This window comes from Homo sapiens, chromosome 11, assembly GCF_000001405.40.
Source record: "Homo sapiens chromosome 11, GRCh38.p14 Primary Assembly".
NCBI classification, from domain to species: Eukaryota; Metazoa; Chordata; class Mammalia; order Primates; family Hominidae; genus Homo; species Homo sapiens.
In genome coordinates, this window is record NC_000011.10 from 63,015,936 (window position 1) to 63,035,748 (window position 19,813).

General features: G+C 48.0%; 1 pseudogene, besides 3 other annotated features; it reads right to left on the reverse strand.

The window, feature by feature from the left end:
* Window positions 1,456-1,955: an enhancer, noted in NCBI's record as "H3K4me1 hESC enhancer chr11:62784863-62785362 (GRCh37/hg19 assembly coordinates)". NCBI's record gives its function as "activates a minimal SCP1, AML or CMV promoter by ChIP-STARR-seq in naive H9 embryonic stem cells {active_cell/tissue: H9 hESC(naive)}" and the evidence as "EXISTENCE:reporter gene assay evidence [ECO:0000049][PMID:30033119]".
* Window positions 4,346-4,927: an enhancer, noted in NCBI's record as "H3K27ac-H3K4me1 hESC enhancer chr11:62787753-62788334 (GRCh37/hg19 assembly coordinates)". NCBI's record gives its function as "activates a minimal SCP1, AML or CMV promoter by ChIP-STARR-seq in naive H9 embryonic stem cells {active_cell/tissue: H9 hESC(naive)}" and the evidence as "EXISTENCE:reporter gene assay evidence [ECO:0000049][PMID:30033119]".
* Window positions 4,693-4,879: a silencer, noted in NCBI's record as "fragment chr11:62788100-62788286 (GRCh37/hg19 assembly coordinates)". NCBI's record gives its function as "represses an EF-1alpha promoter that drives an FKBP-Casp9 reporter gene in an ReSE screen in phorbol 12-myristate 13-acetate-treated (for megakaryocytic differentiation) K562 erythroleukemia cells {active_cell/tissue: K562(+PMA)}" and the evidence as "EXISTENCE:reporter gene assay evidence [ECO:0000049][PMID:32094911]".
* PTTG1P2 (PTTG1 pseudogene 2) lies at window positions 16,512-17,173 on the reverse strand (annotated as a pseudogene).

Genomic DNA, 19,813 nt, shown 5'->3' on the forward strand with positions numbered 1-19,813 from the left:
AGAGTGCTGTGGACCCACCAAGCCCAGCTCTCCTCAAAGGGCTGCCTCAGCGAGGGCCGCTGGGGGTGGGGCAGCGTGGCTGAGCCTAGCAGGGCTGCTGGCTGGACACCACGGGCCCAAATGGGAAGTCTGAGACGTGCCTCCGTTTTGTACATCCGCCCAACGCGAGCAGCCCTGGCAGGCTCACCGAGGGGAGATTCTGGGAAGGAATCTGGCCTGACCTCTGAGGGTTCAAGGTCCCTCTCAACTGATGTTCAGAGGACTTGATGCTGAGGACAACCAATGGGAAAGGCACTGGTGCCCGTAAGCAGGCAGCATTCTCCTGTGTGCTACCTCCCCTGCCTGGCACCTCCCGAGTAGGGGAAGGGGATTTGCCTCTCAGGAAGTGTTAGGGCACACCCAGACAGAAAATGTCACTTTCATCTATCCCTGAGGACGCAGGGCTGCCATCTCCTGGGCCCCTGGGGCAGCCAGGACCTCCGTGTCTGTGTCTCTGACACAGGTGAACTGCCCCCTTCCATCCCACCCTCAATGGACAGGCTTCTCTCCTGATCAGCCGCTTCCCCCTGGGGACCAAATGTAGTCCCTGCTGTTTTATTTTCACTCTGAATATTATTTTAATTATATAATAATGTGTGTTTCCTGCATAAAACATGGGAAATACAGACAAGCCAAACAAAACAAATCAAAACAAAGCAAAATGTCCAGTCTCACCTGAGAGCCTATCTGTTCTTCTGGTCTTTTCCTCAGCAGAGACTTCAGTCTAAGACCTCAACTTCTAGCCACCAACATTAGGCTCTTTTAACCCTCACGGCAGCCCTGTGACTAGTCTAGCATTAATAATTAGGGAACTGAGGCAAAGGGAGATTAAGTGACCTCCTCACCATCCCCCAGCCAGGAAGCACAGGGCAGGGGCAGGGTGGCCCTAAGCCTATTCCCTCCCTTAGAACCAACATTCTCTACGAAGCCTATGGGGGCACTGTACTATTAATATATTGCCTCTCCCTTAAAGAGCCACCTAGAGGTCTGGGCGGGGTGGCTCAAGCCTGTAATCCCAGCAGTCTGGGAGGCCAAGGTGGGTGGGTCACGAGGTCAGGAGTTCCAGACCAGCCTGGCCAATATGGTGAAACCCCATCTCTACTAAAAATACAAAAATTAGCCAGGCATGTGGCACGCGCCTATAGTCCCAGCTACTTGGGAAGCTGAGGCAGGAGAATCACTGGAACCCAGGAGGCAGAGGTTGCAGTGAGCCAAGATCGTGCCACTGCACTCCAGCCTCGGTGACAGAGCAAGACTACGTCTCAAAAAAAAAAAAAAAAAAGTCACCTAGGCTGGTCTTCAACATCACTCCTGCCTGCCTTTACCTCTCTGTTCCTACCTCCAGAAACCCCTGGGAGCTGCCCCTTCCCACCTGCTCTAGGGGCTAGGGAGGGGCCCCTTTAGGGCTCCCCTTCTTGGTTGGGGAGGGCTTTCCATTCTCCTCCTGGGCCCCCCTCTCCACCAAGGCAGTATCCAGCCCCCAGGGTCCAGACTGAGCTTCCCTCCTACCGCAGGGCAGGGTCAGCTGGTCAACCTGGGTCCAGCCCTGCCCCTCGGCTTCCCACCTGGGCCCAGCAGTTATTGATGTTCTCAGAGTGGCCTGAGGCAGGGCGAGATCTGGAGTCATCAAAGGAAGATTAAATTATGCTCCAAGGCAGCCAAGGGGTTGTTTTAGGAAGATTTTCGACTGTGAGGCTTGCAGTGAGCTGGGCTGCCGCCCTGAGCTCCCCCTGTTCTGGGCATTTGGCCTCTTGGAGATTTTCTGGTTCCTAATTGGCTTGGGTTATCCATCTGTTCCTGTCCTAGTGGAATGTTGTTTAAAGGAGCCTGGTGACTCCCCGCTGAGGCTGCTGGAGTTAAGCCAGAGTATACATATCTGAACTGCCCAGCCAGGGGCAGCTGCATCCGGGCAGCGCCCCCCAACCCCTAATGGATGTGATTGGATTAGTGATATCAGGAATTGTGTGATGCACTTGTTATATGACCTTGGACAAATCACTCTCTCTGTGCCTCTTGTTTCTCTTCATTAGTTAAGTGGCTTTTTAAAAAAAAGCACCAGAAACCTTTTATTCAAACAATATATTGGGTTCATAAGATCAATGTATAAAGCAGACAATAGAGGTGCTCTGGCTAAAGTGGGGACTGTGGGTGTGGGGGGATGCTTCAGCTAAAGTGGGAGAGAAAGTGACCAGAAGAGCCCTGCCTCCGTCACGCTACCTCTCCCTCCGTCACCCTACCTCTCCCTCCGTCACCCTTCCTCTCCCATCCCACACGCTTCATCCTTCCCTTTGGGATTCTCTGCCCCAGGCAGTCCCTCCCCAAGTCAAATCCACCTTATTGGGGGATCTATCACTTTTTACATGCTGTGATCCTAAATTCAATATGTTCAAATTAACTTTTTTTTTTTAAAGACACTATAAATTTGGGAAATCTTACATGCTAGATGCATTTTTAATTTGGGATATGGAAATAGATTTTCTTTCTCTTTTTCTCCTTCCCTCTCTCCCCACTCCCACCCTTCCTCCTCCCACCTTCTCTCTTTTCATCTTTTCTCTGAACTCTTCCAGGGGCTCCTTTAAGCTGACCTGGGTTCAGTCTCCCCTGTTCTCTGCTGGGTCCTGGCATGGACCTGTGTTTTGAGCTGGAAGGGCCTATGAAATCATCTAGTCCGACATTCTCATCTTATCTATGGGAAACTGAGGTGCAGGGAGGGGAGCAGCACTGGCCTGATTCCCCGCTTCCCTGGCACCTCCACACAGTGGACACTCTTTGAAGTCTTAAATTCACTCAGGCAGGGGAGGAGCTATGACAAGTCTTATCTTCAGAAGCAGTAGGTGAGTCTGGGCATTCTGGACAATTCCAGGTGGCCTCATGGAACTTTCTGTGGGCCATCAACCCTCCTAGCTGCTCACTCATTTGTCTGTCCATCTGCCCATTCATCTGTCCATCCGTTCATTCATCCATCCATCCCTCCCTCCATCCAATGTGCGCCATGGGCTTGTATATCTGAGGCCCCGTTCTAGGAGCTATGGTGCCTGCCCTACCCTCCAGCCTCAGAGGAGGCAGCCACCCAGAAACAATCACAGCATGAAGGAGATGACCTCAATGTCATGGGAGAAGTCCATACATTCCAGGGGTCAAAGGAGAGGGTAATAATGACCAGGTTTGGGGAATGGGATCAGGGTGGGCTGCCTGGAGAAGGTGGCCTTTACACTGAACTTGGATGTGGAGGGTGGGGATCAAAAGATAAAACCGGAGAGGGACCTGCCAACCCAGGGATGTGAGTGTAAGGTGTGTTGGGGGGAAATGGGAGGTAAAATGGATGAAGCAGCTTGGGCAGAATTTCTCTTCCATCCAGGGTGGTGGCCTTGGTCTCAGGGGCTGGGACATCTCTGCGATAGTCTCAGAGGGGCCGATAATCCCCTGGGCTTCTCTGTCCTCCTGGGGGTGGGAGTGGGGAAGCTCCTGAGGCTTGTGACCCGTGAGGCTCCAGGGGCTCACCGAGTCACACTCAGTGGTGCCTAGCCTTACTTTGGGCAGATTCTGGGTCTCTCACCCATCATGAAACTTCCATGGGGCCATTTGTGCCCCTGCTCCTGCTGTGGCTGCTGCCTGCTGGCTGCCCACTCACCACCCTCTCCAGGGTGGTTCCAGGCAGTTCTGCAGCACGTGTGGGCCCCTGTCCTGCTCCCCAGACTGCAGTCCCTGGCAGGGATGGCGAGACATTCCGTAAATTCCCAAGGGCCAGGAGCTATTCCTCTCTGGTGGCTGACTGGGGGCCTCTCAGCCCGTGGCTTCGTCAGTGACTTATTAGGGACTCCAGATTCAGCCCCTGTGCTTGGGTGGTTCTAACAGATTTGGTGGCCTCTGTATGGTGGTTTCAGGCTTGACCTGCCATGGGATGTCCTCTGCCCTCAAACCCCAATCTCTCTCTCCCTTCACAGGCTGATTCTAAAGTTTCCTTTATGGGAGTGAGGCAGTTCAGGGAATGAGGATTCTGCAGGCCTGAATTTTTTTCTTTTTTTGAGGGGGAGTCTTGCTCTTGTTGCCCAGGCTGGAGTGCAATGGCTCAATCTCCGCTCACCACAACCTCCGTCTCCCAGGTTCCAGTGATTCTCCTGCCTCAGCCTCCCGAGTAGCTAGGATTACAGGCATGCGCCACCATGCCCAGCTAATTTTGTATTTTTAGTAGAGACGGGGGTTTCTCCATGTTGGTCAGGCTGGTCTCGAACTCCTGACCTCAGGTGATCCACCTGCCTTGGCCTCCCAGAGTGCTGGGATTACAGGCATGAGCCACCGTGCCCAGCTGCACAAGCCTGAATTTGAATCTCGACTCTACGTCTTGTTAGCTGCGTAGTGATGCCCGCCTAAGCCTCAGTTTCATCACTTGTAACTGCAAAACGGGGAATAAAACCTACCTATGGGATTGTTGGGGTTTTAAATAAAAGTGTATAAAGCCTGAGCCCAGTGTTGGGCACACAGTATTTAATTACAGGGTCAGCCCTGAGGGCACAGGCCTCAGCAAGGCCCGACACTCCCAGAAGAGGAGGAGGAAGAGAGGCCAGAACAGGAGGAGTGTTCTCCAGCTCCTGGGGCACGGGCCGAAAGCCCTTCCATGTGGGTGGGCTTCTTGAGGCCCTCCCTGGGCCCTTGGAGGCAGCCCTGGCCCAACTAATTCTGGTCAAGCCCATCATGTTGCCAGGCAGCCTGGGTCTCAGCTGCCACCCTAAGTGGCACAGTGCAGGGACACAGGACGCTCTGAGGGCTGTGCTCCAGCTGCCAGGGCAAGGCTAGGAAATGTCCTCATGGGCAGCTCTGAAGGCACGGTCGGGAGAGTCGCCCCCTTCTGGTGTGCACCGGAACGGCACCTGTTTCCTCAGGAGGGTGTGGCTGCATTTTGGAGCCCTCGCGCCACCTGGCAAAGAACCCAGCGCAGGGAACGGATTATGTGGATCCCGGAGCTTCCTCACACCAGACACCTGCCTAAGAACTGGAGGGCGGGACCCCAGGCTGACGCTCCTTAGCAGCAGGCGGAGGGGACACATGCCACTGTCCCCATGTCCCAGCACGGCTTTCTGTTCATCCGATGTCTTAAGCCAGGGTTGGCCAACTCAACTCACGGGGCCAGGTGATGTGGCCAAGTGAGGTGGGCCAAGTGCCAGCGAAAGGGAGCGCGGGGCCACGGGGAGTTGCAGAGCGCATGTCCAGTCTGAAGGGGGCAGCGGCCCGCTCAGCACCAGCTGGTGTTGCCATGGGGATATGCAGGCTTCAGTTGCCAGATCTTCAGATATTTTAAAAATAGCTTGAAATCTGGACTTTTGTGTGAAATTTTCCAATTGTGTAGGCGACCCCTCCTCCCACCTTCTGGAATCCCTTTGTCTTTTCTGCTTGAACCCCCTAAAGGGGTCAACTCCCTCAAGTGATTCCTTGCAGACGAAGGTAGGATCTCCTCTGATTCGTCCTCACAGTTCCTCCTTGCTGGCCTTCAGGAGTTTATTCACCGAGCAAACATCCAGCACCTGCTCTGGGCTAGGCCTTGTGCAGAAATGGATTTTGAAGATGGGAGGAAATGGAGAAGACTCAGAGCATTGCTTTGGAGAATGAAGGAAGAATGGAGGGGACAGGTGTCAGGCTCCCTGGGACACCTTACCACCACTTCCCAATTGGGATCTCCTATCTGAGCTGTGAGGTCTCCTCCCTGTTATGCCATCCATGCTTTGGGTGGAGAGCCTCGTTCCCACTCAGCATCTCTTTTCTCATTGTTTCCAAGGCTGGGTCTTTCTTGGCTCCTCAAATCACACCTCCTCCGAGAGGCTTTCCTGGACCATGCTAGCTAGAGCAGCTTTCTCTATACCAACCGTACACTCTTTATAGCACTCATCACTGTCTGAAATGATACACTTGCTTATTATCTATCTGCCTTCTCCCCACTCAACTATAAGGCCACAAAGGCAGGGCCTTCCTGAAGGATGTATTGGCTGCTCTCTGAACCCTTGGCAGGAGTTTGTGAGTTTATATTCCCCAGATGCTCTTCAGGCACAAAAAGCTAGACTAGAGGTTTTCAACAATGTCCAAAGGGTCTTTAAAACTCTGGAGTCACCGCCATCATCGGTAGTCCTTTTATCTCCACTGGTGTGTCCATGGCAGGGCCCTGCTTTCTGCTGTCCTTTGGGGCCCTGGAAATCCCAGATCTGTTTTCAGGAAACATTCTTAGCAGAGGTAGTGCTCTGTCCCAGACCACACTTGCTGGGCCTGTTTTCTCGCCTGCAAAAATGGGCAGAATGATAACTGTTGCAAGCTCATAGGGGTGTGAGGAGGGGAGTGCACGTCGTCCTGTGAGGTGGTAACCCCAAATTCTGTCATGAAGCATGGTGTCCCCTGGGTCCTGGCTGGGAGCTCGGAGCCCATTTTATACCTACCCCCAAGTAGTGCATGTATTCTGCCTGCCTTATTTCCTGCCCACAGCCCTTGCACAGGCCTGCTCTGCAGTTGGTCTCCCTCAGCATGGCAGAAGAGCTTAATGATAAAGATGGGCTGAGCTTCCAGGAGCAGACGGCATGGGACAGAAGTCACAGATGCAAGGGAAGATACTCAGAGCCTGTGAAATCCCCTCAACTGCTCCCCTCCCCCACCAACCTTGTCCTTGGACTTGCATGTCCCTCCTCGGGAGGGGGATTGGCAGATGAAACTTTATCATGATGAAGGCAAGGGCCAGTCACAGCTGAGCTCCTGCATGTAGAGGACTCGGCAGCAGGGACCAGTCTGATGATAAAAATGACAGCAACCGTATACATAGCTGCTTGTCAGGGGAGGGAACCTGGTGCTGGGGGTGAGGGCAGGAGTTCACTGTTGCGTGCATTCGTATCTGCCAACCCAACAGTGTTCAGAATCATAGATGGCTGTTTATCTTGGGCAGGGGGGCACTGGTGGCCCACCCCAGAGCTCTGATCTCATCTTAGCTTCATCAGTGCTGTTGATGAAATTCAGAGAAGTAAAGTTTATCAGGTTTTCAGAGAACCCAAAGCTGGGATACAAGGTGTCTAAGTAGGAGAACAGAATCAAGATCCAAAGCAGTTGGAAGGTTGAATACTGGGCCTGCTTCCTTCTGGCAATGTAATTTCAGACAAGTCTCATAAAGTTTTTGAGCCCTGGTTTTCCCATCTGCAAAATGGGGACAATGCCACCGACACTGCAGTGCTGTAAGGGTTAAGAAGACAGCCTACATAGAGCACCCAGCAGAGGCTGTATGCCTGGCACACAGTAGCCCCTCACTCACTAGTGGCTACGGCTGTGATGAATACCAATGTGAGCTCCTTAGGCCAGGAGCCTTGTCTTTCGTTCCTGTATTCCTGGTGCCTGGTATGGCGTGGGCACTGAACAAATGTTTGTCAGATGAATGAACAAGATGAATTTGACAGGGATAAATGTCAGTTCCTGGACTCGCATCCAAAGACCCAGCTGCACAAGGATGCAGTGGGGGAGAAATGGCTTAGCAACAGCACATGTGAGAAAAGCCGAGGGATTGAAACTGACAGAAATTCAGTCAACATGAGGTGGCTGCCAAAACCAGCCAGGGCAAACTTGGGTAGCATTATTAGAGGCTGGGTGCTCAGAAGAGGGAGGCCACGGTGGTCAGACCAGCCTCAAGAGCCACAGACCCTTGTACGTTTCGCCTGTAGGGAGGCTGGCCAACCAGATGAGGTGGGGAAGAGTCCTAAAGACCACATATCATGAGATGCGGCTGAAGAAACCAGGGCGCTGAGCTTGGAGAAGAGAATCACAAGGCACGTGGTGGCATTCAGATCTTGCCTCTTCCACTTGCTCTGGACAATCAACAGCTCCAAGTCCCAGTTTCCTCATCCGTAAAATGTGCAAGCCACAGGTTGGAGGTCACGCCGCTGCTGGAGAAGGGCAGAAATGGGAACCCGAGCCTTACTGGACCGGCCCCCCTCCGCCTCCCTCCTGAGCTCTTCAGCACGGAGGTTGTTCACGCTGAGGACAGCTGTCAGGGAAACTGTGGGTGGCCAGAGGCCTCTGTTTCCATTTTAGGGGTTGGACCAGGATCACAGGGGCAGCTCCTTCCAGCCCTAACCCTTCCTTCTCCTTTCTTCCACTTGTGGCCGATTCTATAGTCTGGGTGCTTTCCTGGCGGCCAGCTTCCCTCTATTTGCATGGTTTCTGCGTGTAAGATTTTGTGTGCAAAAGGCTGCATCTGTTCCTCTTCTTCCCAGAAACCGCCCGGTGCCTGCAGTGCGCCCGCCTGGTGTTCCCTCTGCTCCCTCTGGTGGCTATAGCGGGTACTGCACAGGGCTCAACAGAGCCAACCAGAATAGCGTTGGAATCAGACATCTTGGTAAAAGTCCCGGCCCTCCATCAACAGATGAATGGATAAGCATAATGTGGTATAACATACAATGGAATATTATTCAGTCTTAAAATGGAAGGAAACGATGACAACTGGATGAGTCTCAAAAACATTAAGTGAAAATAAGTTGGCACAGAAGGACAAATATTTTATGATTCCATTTATAGGAGGTATATAGAACAGGTAGATTCAGAGACACAAAGTAGAACAGAAGTTACCAGGGGCTCACAGAGGGGGAAAAGGGGAGTTATGGTTTAATGGGTACTGAGTTTCTATTCGAGATAATGAAAAATTTCTGGAAATGGATAATAGTCATGGTCACACAACATCGTGAATATACTTAATGCCACTTATTGTACCCTTAAAAATTGTTAAAATGGTAAATTTTGTGTTGTATATATTTCATTACAATAAAAAGTAATACAATATTCATAACACAAAATTTACCATTTTAAGCATCTTGCTACCTAAGGGCTGCATGAGCTTCATCAAGTCACTTAGCTTCTCTGGGCCTCTGCTTCCTCATCTGTAAAGTGGGGAGAGCAATACTGCTTACCTCACTGCTACCACCCTGGTCCAAGCCACCATACTTTCTCACCTGGAGGATTGCAAACTGCCTCCTTGATGGTCTCCTGGCTTCACTTTGGCCCTTCCCAACAAGTCTTTTTCTACTAAGCAGCCATAACATCTAGAAAACTAGGTTAGATCAGTCACGCTCCTGCTTAAAATTCTCCCCACACTCCTCTTTTTGACCAACAGGATCTGGTCTGTGATCACCTCTCCTGCCTCAGTACTTTCTGCCACCTCTCCCTCACCAAGATATTACTCCATGCTCCTTTTGCCTCCAGGCCTTTGGCCTCATTGGTTACCCTGACTTGAATGCTGTTCTCCTGATTGTCTTACATTGCCAGGTCATCCTTGTCATCAAGGTCTCATCTCAAATGTCACCTTCTTTTTCTGGGGATTTCATTTCTTACCAGCCACTCCAATGTTGCCTTACCTTCTAGCCATACTCTTATCACCTCTGTCTTGTTTGATTTTCTTCATAGCACCTGTCATGATCTGAAATTGTCTTATCTCTGTGAAACTGGGTCATTTTATGGGCTGGATTTTGTAGAGTGCAAAGTAGGGTATAGTTTTTATTTTTCTTCTGCCTCCATCCTTGCACTTGCTCTGTTGCTTCTCTCTCCCCACATTGTCTTTGTCCATTTTCTGTTGCCTATAACAGAATACCACAGACTGGGTAATTTAAAAAAAATAAAAAAAGAGATTCATTTGGCTCATGGTTCTGGAGGGTGGGAAGTCCAAGAGCATGGTACTGCATCTAGTGATGGCCTTAGTGCTGCATCATAACATAGTGGCAGGCATCACATGGTGAGAGAGGGTGAGAGAGTGTGAGACACAGACAGAACTGGGGGTTGAACTTATCCTTTTACCAGGAGCCTGCTTCCGGGATAACTAACCCACTCCTCTGATAACAGCATTAACCCACTGATGAGGGCAGAGCCCTCATGACCTAATCATATCTTCAAGTTCCCACCTGTTTTTTTTTTTTTTTTTTCCAGACGGAGTTTCACTGTCATCTCCCAGGCTGGAGTGCAGTGGCACGATCTTGGCTCACTGCAACCTCCACCTCCCAGGTTCAAGCGATTCTCCTGCCTCAGCCTCTCAAGTAGCTGGGATTACAGGCGCATGCCACCAGACTCAGCTAATTGTTGTATTTTTAGTAGAGATGGGGTTTCACCATGTTGGCCAGGCTTGTCTTGAACTCCTGACCTCAGGTGATCCACCCGCCTTGGCCTCCCAAAGTGCAGGGATTACAGGTGTGAGCCACTGTGCCGGGCCCCCAGCTATTAATACCATCACAATAGCAATTAAATTTCAACATGAGTTTTGGAGGGGACATTCAAACCATAGCACCCCTCCTTGAAAATGTTTCAGCTAAGTATAGTTTACCCATTTTTTTCAGGTATTAGATCAATTTCAATTTTAGACATTAAAAGTCTGATTCTTTTAGGAGATGTACATTGAAGGATTTAAGAATGAAGAGTCATGGTGTCTGAAGCTTGCTTTCAAGTGATTTAGCAAGACCATGTATACACACATACACACAATGTTAACAAGTTTTGAATCTAGGTGGTGAATATATAGGTATTTATTATACTATTCTTTCAACTTTTCTATATGTTTGAAAATTCTTATAAAATGTTGGGCAAAAAGGAAACTGCTTTTGTCAGGTTAAGAAAATAAACCCAGTCCTATATAAATAAAAATATTTATCTTCCATCCAATATAAAGCTTCTCCTATTCAAGCTGACCAGGCCTGGCTTTCCGCAGTGGGGAAGGTTGGGGGGATGGGCAGCGGGTGTATGGCCAATGTCCTCACTCTCTCGGATTCACCTCCCCTCCCACTCCTAGCAGCTGCTTCAGCTCCTTCAGGGTCTGGGAAGGGAGGAGGGAGGAAAGGAAGAGGAGAGGGCTCCTCAGTTGTGCTCTTGTCATCCATGTGGGGTGTACTGCTGGGCTTCCCCCTCCAGGAACTCTGCCCATACCATTGTTTTTTTTGTTTTGAGATGGAGTCTCACTCTGTCACCCAGGCTGGAGTGCAGTGGTGCAGTTTTGGCTCACTGCAACTTCTGCCTTCTGGGTTCAAGCAATTCTCCTGCCTAGGCCTCCCTAGAAGCTGGGATTATGGGTGTGCACCACCACACGTGGCTAATTTTTGCAATTTAGTAGAGATGGGGTTTCACCATGTTGGCCAGGCTGGTCTTGAACTCCCGACCTCAGGTGATCTGCCCACCTCAGACTTCCAAAGTGCTGGGATTACAGGCGTGAGCCACCGTGCCCGGCCCCCACACCATTCTTGATGTGAGTGATGCCCAGCTGATCTCTCACACTCTGCCCAGTACTACCAAAAAAGCCTCTTTCTGCTGGGGTTGCCTTCTGCTCGCAGGTAGCCTCTTGGGTGAGGTCCCATTGAGGGGACAGTGTATTAGTCTGTTCTCATGCTGACAATACAGATACCCAAGACTGAGTACTTTATAAAGGAAAGGAGGTTTAATGGACTCGCAGTTCCACATGGCTGGGGAGGCCTCACAATCATGGTGGAAGATGAAGGAGAAACAAAGTCACATCTTACGTGGTGGCAGGCAAGAGAGGGTGTGTGCAGGGGAACTCCCCTTTATAAAACCATCAGATCTTGTGAGACTTATTCACTATCATGAAATCACTATCATGGGAAATGCCCACCCCCATGATTCAGTTACCCCCTACTGGGTCTCTCCCATGACACGTGGGAATTATGGGAGCTACAATTCAAGATTTGGGTGGGGATAGAGCAAAACCGTATCATTCCACTCCTGGCCCCTCCCAAATTTCATGTCCTCACATTTCAAAACCAATCATCCCTTCCCAACAGTCCCCCAAAGTCTTAACTCATTCCAACATTAACTCAAAAGTCCATAGTCCAAAGTCTCATCTGAGACAAGGCAAGTCCCTTCTGCCTATGAGCCTGTAAAATCAAAAGCAAGTTAGTTATTTCCTAGATAACAGTGGGGGTACCGGAATTGGGTATATACACCCATTCCAAATGGGGGGAACTGGCCAGAACAAAGGGGCTACAGGCCCCATGCAAGACCAAAATCCAGCGGGGAAGTCAAATCTTAAAGCTCCAAAATGATGTCCTTTGATTTCATGTCTCACATTCAGGCCACACTGATGTGAGAGGTGGGTTCCCATGGCCTTGGGTAGCTCTGCCCTTGTGGCTGGGAAAAAAACAGGAGCGATCACGTAACATTCCTGAACACCAAGGTATAGTACGGTGGACATTCCTGAGCCCTGCTTGGTCCCTGATGAAGGGATAGGGTTAGTGTTAGGGTTAGGGTTAGGATTAGGGTTAGGGTTAGGGTTACAACGGGCTGGGAGGGGGGCAGGGGTTGGCAGGGCTGCAACTTCTTTTATAGGTTTTCTTGGGCAGAATCAGTTCTGGTTTTCTGCTAGCTTCTGGTGGCTCTGGGCTTTCCTTGACCTCTGGACGCACTCTCTGCGCTCTCCGATCTCTGCCTCTGTGGTCACACTGTCTACTCTGCTGTGGGTGGAATCTCCCACTGCCTCACGGTCATAGGACATTTTTCCACTGGACTTAGAGCCCTCTCAGGTAACCAGGATGAGCTCCTCCCTTCAAAACCCTTAACGTTTTTTACAAAATTAATTAATTAATTTTATTTTTAAAACTTTTATTTCCGTAGGTTTTTGGGGAACAGGTGGTATTTCATGACATGAATAAGTTCTGTAGTGGTGATTTGGGAGATTTTGGTGCACTCATCATCCGAGCAGTGTATACTGACCTCTATTTATGGTCTTTTATCCCTCACCTCCTTCCCACTTTTTCCATCTGAGTCCCCAAAGTCCATTGTGTCATTCTTATGCCTTTGCATTCTCATAGCTTAGCTCCCACTTATGAGTGAGAACATGTGATTTTGGTTTTCCATTCCAGAGTTCCTTCACTTAGAATAATAGTCTCCAGTTCCATCCTGGTTGCTGTGAATGCCATTAATTCATTCCTTTTTATGGCTGAGTAGTATTCCATTGTATATATGTACCACAGTTTCTTTATCCACTCGTTGATTGATGGGCATTTAGGTTGGTTCCACACTTTTGCAATTGTGAATTGTGCTGCTGTGAACATGGGTGTGCAGGTATCTTTTTTGTGTAACGACTTCTTTTCCTCTGGGTACCCAGTAGTGGGATTGCTGGATCAAATGGTAGTTCTACTTTTAGTTCTTTAAGGAATTTCCACACTGTTTTCCATAGCGGCTGTACTAGTTTGTATTCCCACCAGCAGTGGAGAAGTGTTGCCTGTTCACTGCATCCACACCAACATCTATTATTTTTTGATTTTTTTGATTATGACCATTCTTGCAGGAGTAAGATGGTATCGCTTTGTGGTTTTGATTTGCAGTTCCCTGATGATTACTGATGTTGAGGATTTTTTCATATATTTCAAAACCCTTAACTTAATCACATCTTTTATCATTTGCAGTTATATTCCCAGGTGTTGGAGTTTAGGATGAAGATGTATCTTTTTGGGAACTGCCTTTCAGTCCACTACAAGTGGATTTGGAAAGCTAGATTGACCTCGCTCAATTTTGTAAAGGTGGAAGTAGAGAAAGAATGTGGATGAGGATTGTTTTCTCATTTGTCCCAGCAATCCCATTGCTGGGCGAATACCCAGAGGAACAGAAATTATTCTACCATAAAGACACATGCATATGTGTGTTCACTGCAGCATTGTTCACAATAGCAAAGACATGGAATCAATGTAAATGCCCATTAGTGACGGACTGGGTAAAGAAAAAGTGGTACATATACACCATGGAATATTGTGCAGCCATAAAAGAAGAATGAGAGCATGTCCTTTGTAGGAACACGGATAGAGCTGGAGGCCATTATCTTTAGCAAAGTAACACAGGAACAGGAAGCCAAATATACATGTTCTCATTTGTAGGTGGGAGCTAAATGATGAGAACACATGGACACATGGAGGGGAACAATACACACTGGGGCCTATTGGAGGGTGGAGGATGGGAGGAGGGAGAGGAGCAGAAAAAAAGTAGCTATTGGGCACTAGGCTTAGTACCTGGGTGATGAAATAATCTGTACAACACACCCTCATGACACAATTTTACCTATATAACAAACCTACATTTGTTCGGTTAAAAAAGAAAAAAAAGAAAGAGTGTGGATATGGGAGGAAGCAGGCACCGGGAGAGCCTGGGGGTGGAGGTTTGCCATGAAGCACACAGACCCAAAGTGTGTGCTTCATCCCTTGTGCTGAAATTGACCCTGACCCTCAGGCTGTTCTCTTAATTTCCATGTCATTAGAGGAAAATACAAACTCCAGTCTTCAGAATACCCATTTCCGACCCTGCCACAAAAACTCAGATTCCCATATGACATCTGTCTATTCGTTAGTACTGTGTGGCAAATGACTCCCTCCACCAGCCCTGGCTTAGTGATTTAAAACAGCACCTTTGTACTAGCTCACAGTTTCTGTGTGTCAGGATTCTGAACCTGGCTTATCTGGAGGTCTCTGGCCCAGGGTCGTTTGTGAGCTGGCAGTCAAGCTGGTGGCTAGACCCAGGGTTTTATCTAAAGCTCTTTTGGGGCAGATGATACAACTTCATGTGGTCATTGTCAGGTTTCAGTCCCTCACTGTGTGGGCCTCTCTGCATGGCTACCTCACAGCATGGCAGCTGGCTTCCTCTGGAGTGAGCCATGAGAAAGAGGGACTCTGACTCTCAAGATGGAAGCTACAGTCCTTTTATAATGGAATCTCAGGAGTAACAGCTTGTCACTTTTGCTGTTTTCTATTTGTTAGAAGCAAGGCAGTAAATGCAATCCACACTTAAGAGGGAGGGATTACATAAGGGTTCCAATACCAGGAGGTGGGGATCATTGGGGCACCTTAGAAGCTGCCTACCACAGCCCCCAAAGTCTAATATACATAAGACATAAAATGAATTATCTTTAAGGTTAATCATAGATTTATCTCCTAATTTATGATAGTAAACCCAAACACTGGGGGGCTGTGGGGGAGACGGGTGTTATGGTTTGGCTCTGTCCCCACCCAAATCTCATCTTGAATTGTACTCTCATAATTTCTATGTGTTGTGGGAGGGATCTGGTGGGAGATAATTGAATCACGGGGGCAGTTTCTTCCATCCGTTCTCCTGGTAGACAGTAAGTCTCATAAGATCTGATGGTTTGATAAGGGGAGACCCGTTTTGCTTGGCTCTCATTCTGCCTCGTTGCCACCATGTAAGAAGTGCCTTTTGCCTTCTGCCATGATTGTGAGGCCTCCTTAGCCACATGGAACTGTAAGTCCATTAAACCCCTTTCTTTTGTAAATTGCCCAGTCTTGGATATGTCTTTATCAGTGGTATGAAAACAACTAATACAATGGGGATGGTTAATGGGTACAAAAAAATTAGAAAGAATGAATAAGACCTACTATTTTATAGCACAATAGGGTGACTATAGTCAATAATAACTTGATTGTATGTTTAAAAATAACTAAAATAATGTAATTGGATTGTTTGTAACACAAAGGATAAATGCTTGAAGGGATGGAGACCCCATTCTCCATGATGTGATTATTTCACATCGCATGTCTGTATCAAAGCATCTCATGTATCCCATAAATATATACACCTACTGTATACCCACAAAAATTAAAAATAAGGTAGGGTGCGGTGGCTCATGCCTGTAATTCCAGCACTTTGGGAGACCAAGGCAGGTGGATTGCTTTAGCTCAGGAGTTTGAGACGAGCCTGGGCATCCTAGTGAAACCCCATCTCTATCACAAGAAATACAAAAAATTAGCCAGGCATGGTGATGCACGTTTGTGGTTTCAGCTATTCGCGAGGCTGAGGTAGGAGGACTGCTTGAACCTGGGAGGCAGAGGTGGCAGTGAGCTGTGATCACACCTCTACCCTCCAGCCTGAGCAACAGAATGAGACCCTGTCTCAAAAACAAAATAAAACAAAAAACAAACAAAACAACAACAATAAAAAAAAACCACACACACACACACCCCCCAAAAAAAAACAAAACAAAACCCCAAAAAGCAAAAACACGAAAAACAAAAAAGACCCATATAAATTAGTTAAAAAACCCCTAAACACCTCAAAACTAATGTTTATGTTCCCAAATCATCAATGAAACTGACATAAATGTCTCTGTAGGATTTTGAGTTGATGGCTTGATCCCCTTTTCCCTTTGTTTTCCTAGAAGAAGGGCCTAGAGAAGTTAATAACATTTCTGGAGTAAACACAAGAGTATGCTAGCATTGAACCCTAGGTTTCCCCAGTTTTCTGTCCTAGATGTGCCCGGGTTCCTGACAAGGAGAGCAGATTTTACGAGGGACCTGCCACTGTGTGTCAGTGCTCAGCTTCTCCACTCAGTTGACTTTATATTAGTTTCTTAGGGCTGCTGTAACATGGTCCACCAAACTGCGTGATTTAAAAACAACAGAAATTTATTGTCTCACAGTTCTGGAGGCTGGAAGTTCAAAATTAAGGTGTTAGCAGGGTGAGTTTTTTTTTTCCTGTTAAAGAATGCTTTATTAGTACAAATACACACAAACCCTAAAGCATGAAGAAATTTAAATATTTATGTCATAGTAAACAGGTGGCAATTCAACATCCAGGGTCAACAGAAGGGTTGAAGGACACTGCAACAGATTGGGTTCCCATGGCGGAGAGGGCATCTTCACAGGCGAAGGCGGGCCCAGCTGAAACAGCTTTTCAAGCTCTCTCTCCTTATCAAGGATCATAAGAGGCACTCCACTCAAGGGGAGGCCTGCAATCTGGTGCACTTCAGGTTGGTTAAAACTCTCAAAATCTAGAAGATTGAAGTGAAATAATTTTTCTATTTCTGGGTAGGCATTATCTGAGGAAGGAACAGAGCTTTTTGCTTTAACAGTCTTCCTGGTCATCTTTTCGGCAGAGAAATTTGGGTGTTTTAGTTTGAGGAGTCCGTTGATCTTTACTCACGTTTCTGTAGCCCTGTTGACAGTTCCAAAAGACTTTCTGGTAGCTTTAGGTAAGGCTGGTAAAGCATTGGACATTTTGCCAACACGTGGTGCTGAAACTTGAGATCTCCCCTCTAAGGCTTTGATTGAAGGTCCAGATCCCAGCTTCAGCCTATCTTTAGGAGCTGCATGGATACCTGGTTCTCCATTCTCCTTATCAACATAGATCAGAGCAGGGTGGGTTCCTTCTGGGGGAGAATCTGATCCATGCCTCTCTCTTTGCTTCTAGTAGCCCCAGGCATTCCTTGGCTTGTGGATGCGTCTCTGCAGTGTTCCATCTCCATATGGTGTTCTTCCTGTGTGTCTGTGTCTTCTTGTATGGACACCAGTCATATTGGGTTAGGGGCCCACTCTGCTCCAGTAGGACCTTATCCTGACTAATCACATCTCTAACAAGCCTATTTCCAAACATGGTCACATTCTGAGGACTTCACTATATCTTTTTTGGGGCCACAATTCAACCCATGACATACCCCTGAATGATGAAAAGAGTAGAATTTGAGACATTACATTTCTAAGTAGTTGGAAAAACTACTTTTGTTTATCTAATAAAGGAGGTATTTGAAGTTGCCCCTTCAGCTTTAATGTTTTTAAAAACTTTTGACTCTAGGGCTTGCCTGATGGGTTAAAGGCTGTCCCAATTTTAGCCGCAGGTCAGTTGTTTCACCTGCACCCTTCTTTGCCCTCAGGTATGGATTAAGAACCTGGAGGCTGGAGGGGTTTTTCCTTTAGCAAGTGTTCCTATGACAAAATACTGAGCTGTTGACTGGGGCTGGGAAGAGGGGATATCCTTATCCCCTGTAGAGGGTTTATTCCAAGGTGTCTCTAAAGCCTCTTGGGCTTTATCTCTATGTTAAAACTCTCTTTTGGGCTTTTGGGATGTGGACTGACAGACCCTGCATGCCTGGAGGATGCTGGGCCACTGGGAGCTGGCTTATCTTACTCTGTTCCAGGCTAGGGACCGAATAAGCTCAATGAGCTGTTTGCACAGCTGCAATGTTTCCTAGAAGAGGGCTTCTTACCTGGTTCCTGAATCAAGAATCATTTCAGCGTTAGGTGGGATCCATCCAGACCAGTCATCTAGACAGTTCCTTAAATTGGGATTTTATTTTACTTTTATTTATTTTTTGAGATGGAGTCTCTCTCTGTCCCCCAGGCTGGAGTGCAGTGGCGCCATCTCTGCTCACTGCAAGCTCCGCCTTCCGGGTTCACGCCATTCTCCTGCCTCAGCCTCCCGAGTAGCTGGGATTACAGGCACCAGCCACCACGCCCGGCTAATTTTTTGTATTTTTAGTAGAGACAGGGTTTCACCGTGTTAGCCAGGATGGTGTCGATCTCTTGACCTCATGATCCACACGCCTTGGCCTCCCAAAGTGCTGGGATTACAGGCGTGAGCCACCGCGCCCGGCCAATTGGGATTTTTTTTAAGCAAAAAAAGAGGATATTTTGAGAATGATGGAACTCCTGGTCTGAAATGAGAACTATATATAACTCCTGGATTTTTTCCTTTCCCTCAACTCCCCGGCAATGGATTGAATGTTTGCGTCCCCCACAAATTCTTATGTTGAAATCCTAACTCTCAATAGGACAGTATTAGAAGGTGGGGCTTTTGGAAGGTAATTAGATCTTAAGAGTAGAGACTTTAAGAATAGGATTCGTGCCCTTGCATGAGAGCCACAAATAGCTCTCCAGCCTTCTGTCTGCCATGTGAGGAGACAATGAGAAGACAATAGTCTTCAACCTGGAAAAAGGCTCATACCAGAGCCTGACCAAGCTGGCACCTATCTCAGATTTCCAGCTTCCAGAACTGTAAGAAATCCATTTCTGACTTTTATAGGCCACCCGTATATTGTATTTTTATGGTAGCAGCCTGAACAGACTAAGGCCTGTTGGCTTTACTTTCACAATGGAAACCAGTCTTTTCACTCCTCATTCTCTGCTGCTTCCTTTCTAATTCAAGCTACCATCACCGCTCCTCCGGACCCGTACAGTCATCTTCCAGCTGGTCTCCCTCCTCCATCCCTGTCTTGTACAATCCATCTTCCACCTAGAAGCCAGAATGGTGTTTTAGAAACCTGAATCCAAGCATGTTATCTCTATGTTAAAACTCCCTAATGCATTTAAAAATCTCCACAATCTGGCCCGCGTTTACCTTTATCTGACACCACTCGTGTTGATTTTTTTTCTTTTTTGAGATAGAGTCTCACTTTATCACTCAGGCTGGAATGCAGTGGCTCGATCTCGGCCACTACAGCCTCCACCTCCTGGGTTCAAGTGATTCTCCTGCCTCAGCCTCTTGCTGTAGCCGTGATTACAGTGCATGCCACCAAGCCTGGCTAATTTTTGTATTTTTAATAGAGACGGGGTTTTGCCATGTTGGCCAGGCTGGCCTTGAGTTCCTGGCTTCAAGTGATCTGCCCGCCTCTGCCTGCCAAAGTGCTGGGATTACAGGTGTGAGCCACCGCGCCCAACCTCGTGTTGATTCATTTCTTGTTATTGTCTTTTCCTTTGCCCACACTTACCCTCCTCTCCCCTTAGAATGTACACCTTTGAGAGAAGGGACCTTGTTTGTCCCAATCATAGAGACAGAGCTGTGCCTGGCACTTGGTGGATGCTCAATCAATATGTTTACAATGCAAATGGCAGAGAAGAAATTTAGGCAAGCAACCGTGGGTTTTCTGTATTCAGTTCTGATACCGACTTTCAGTTCTTTTCACCAAAGAATTGGCAAGAGTCCTGAGCCAGGTGCTGGAGGGGATGATTGGGACTTCTCTTCCAGGCTCTGCAGATACCCTTTTGCATGTCCCAATATTGTT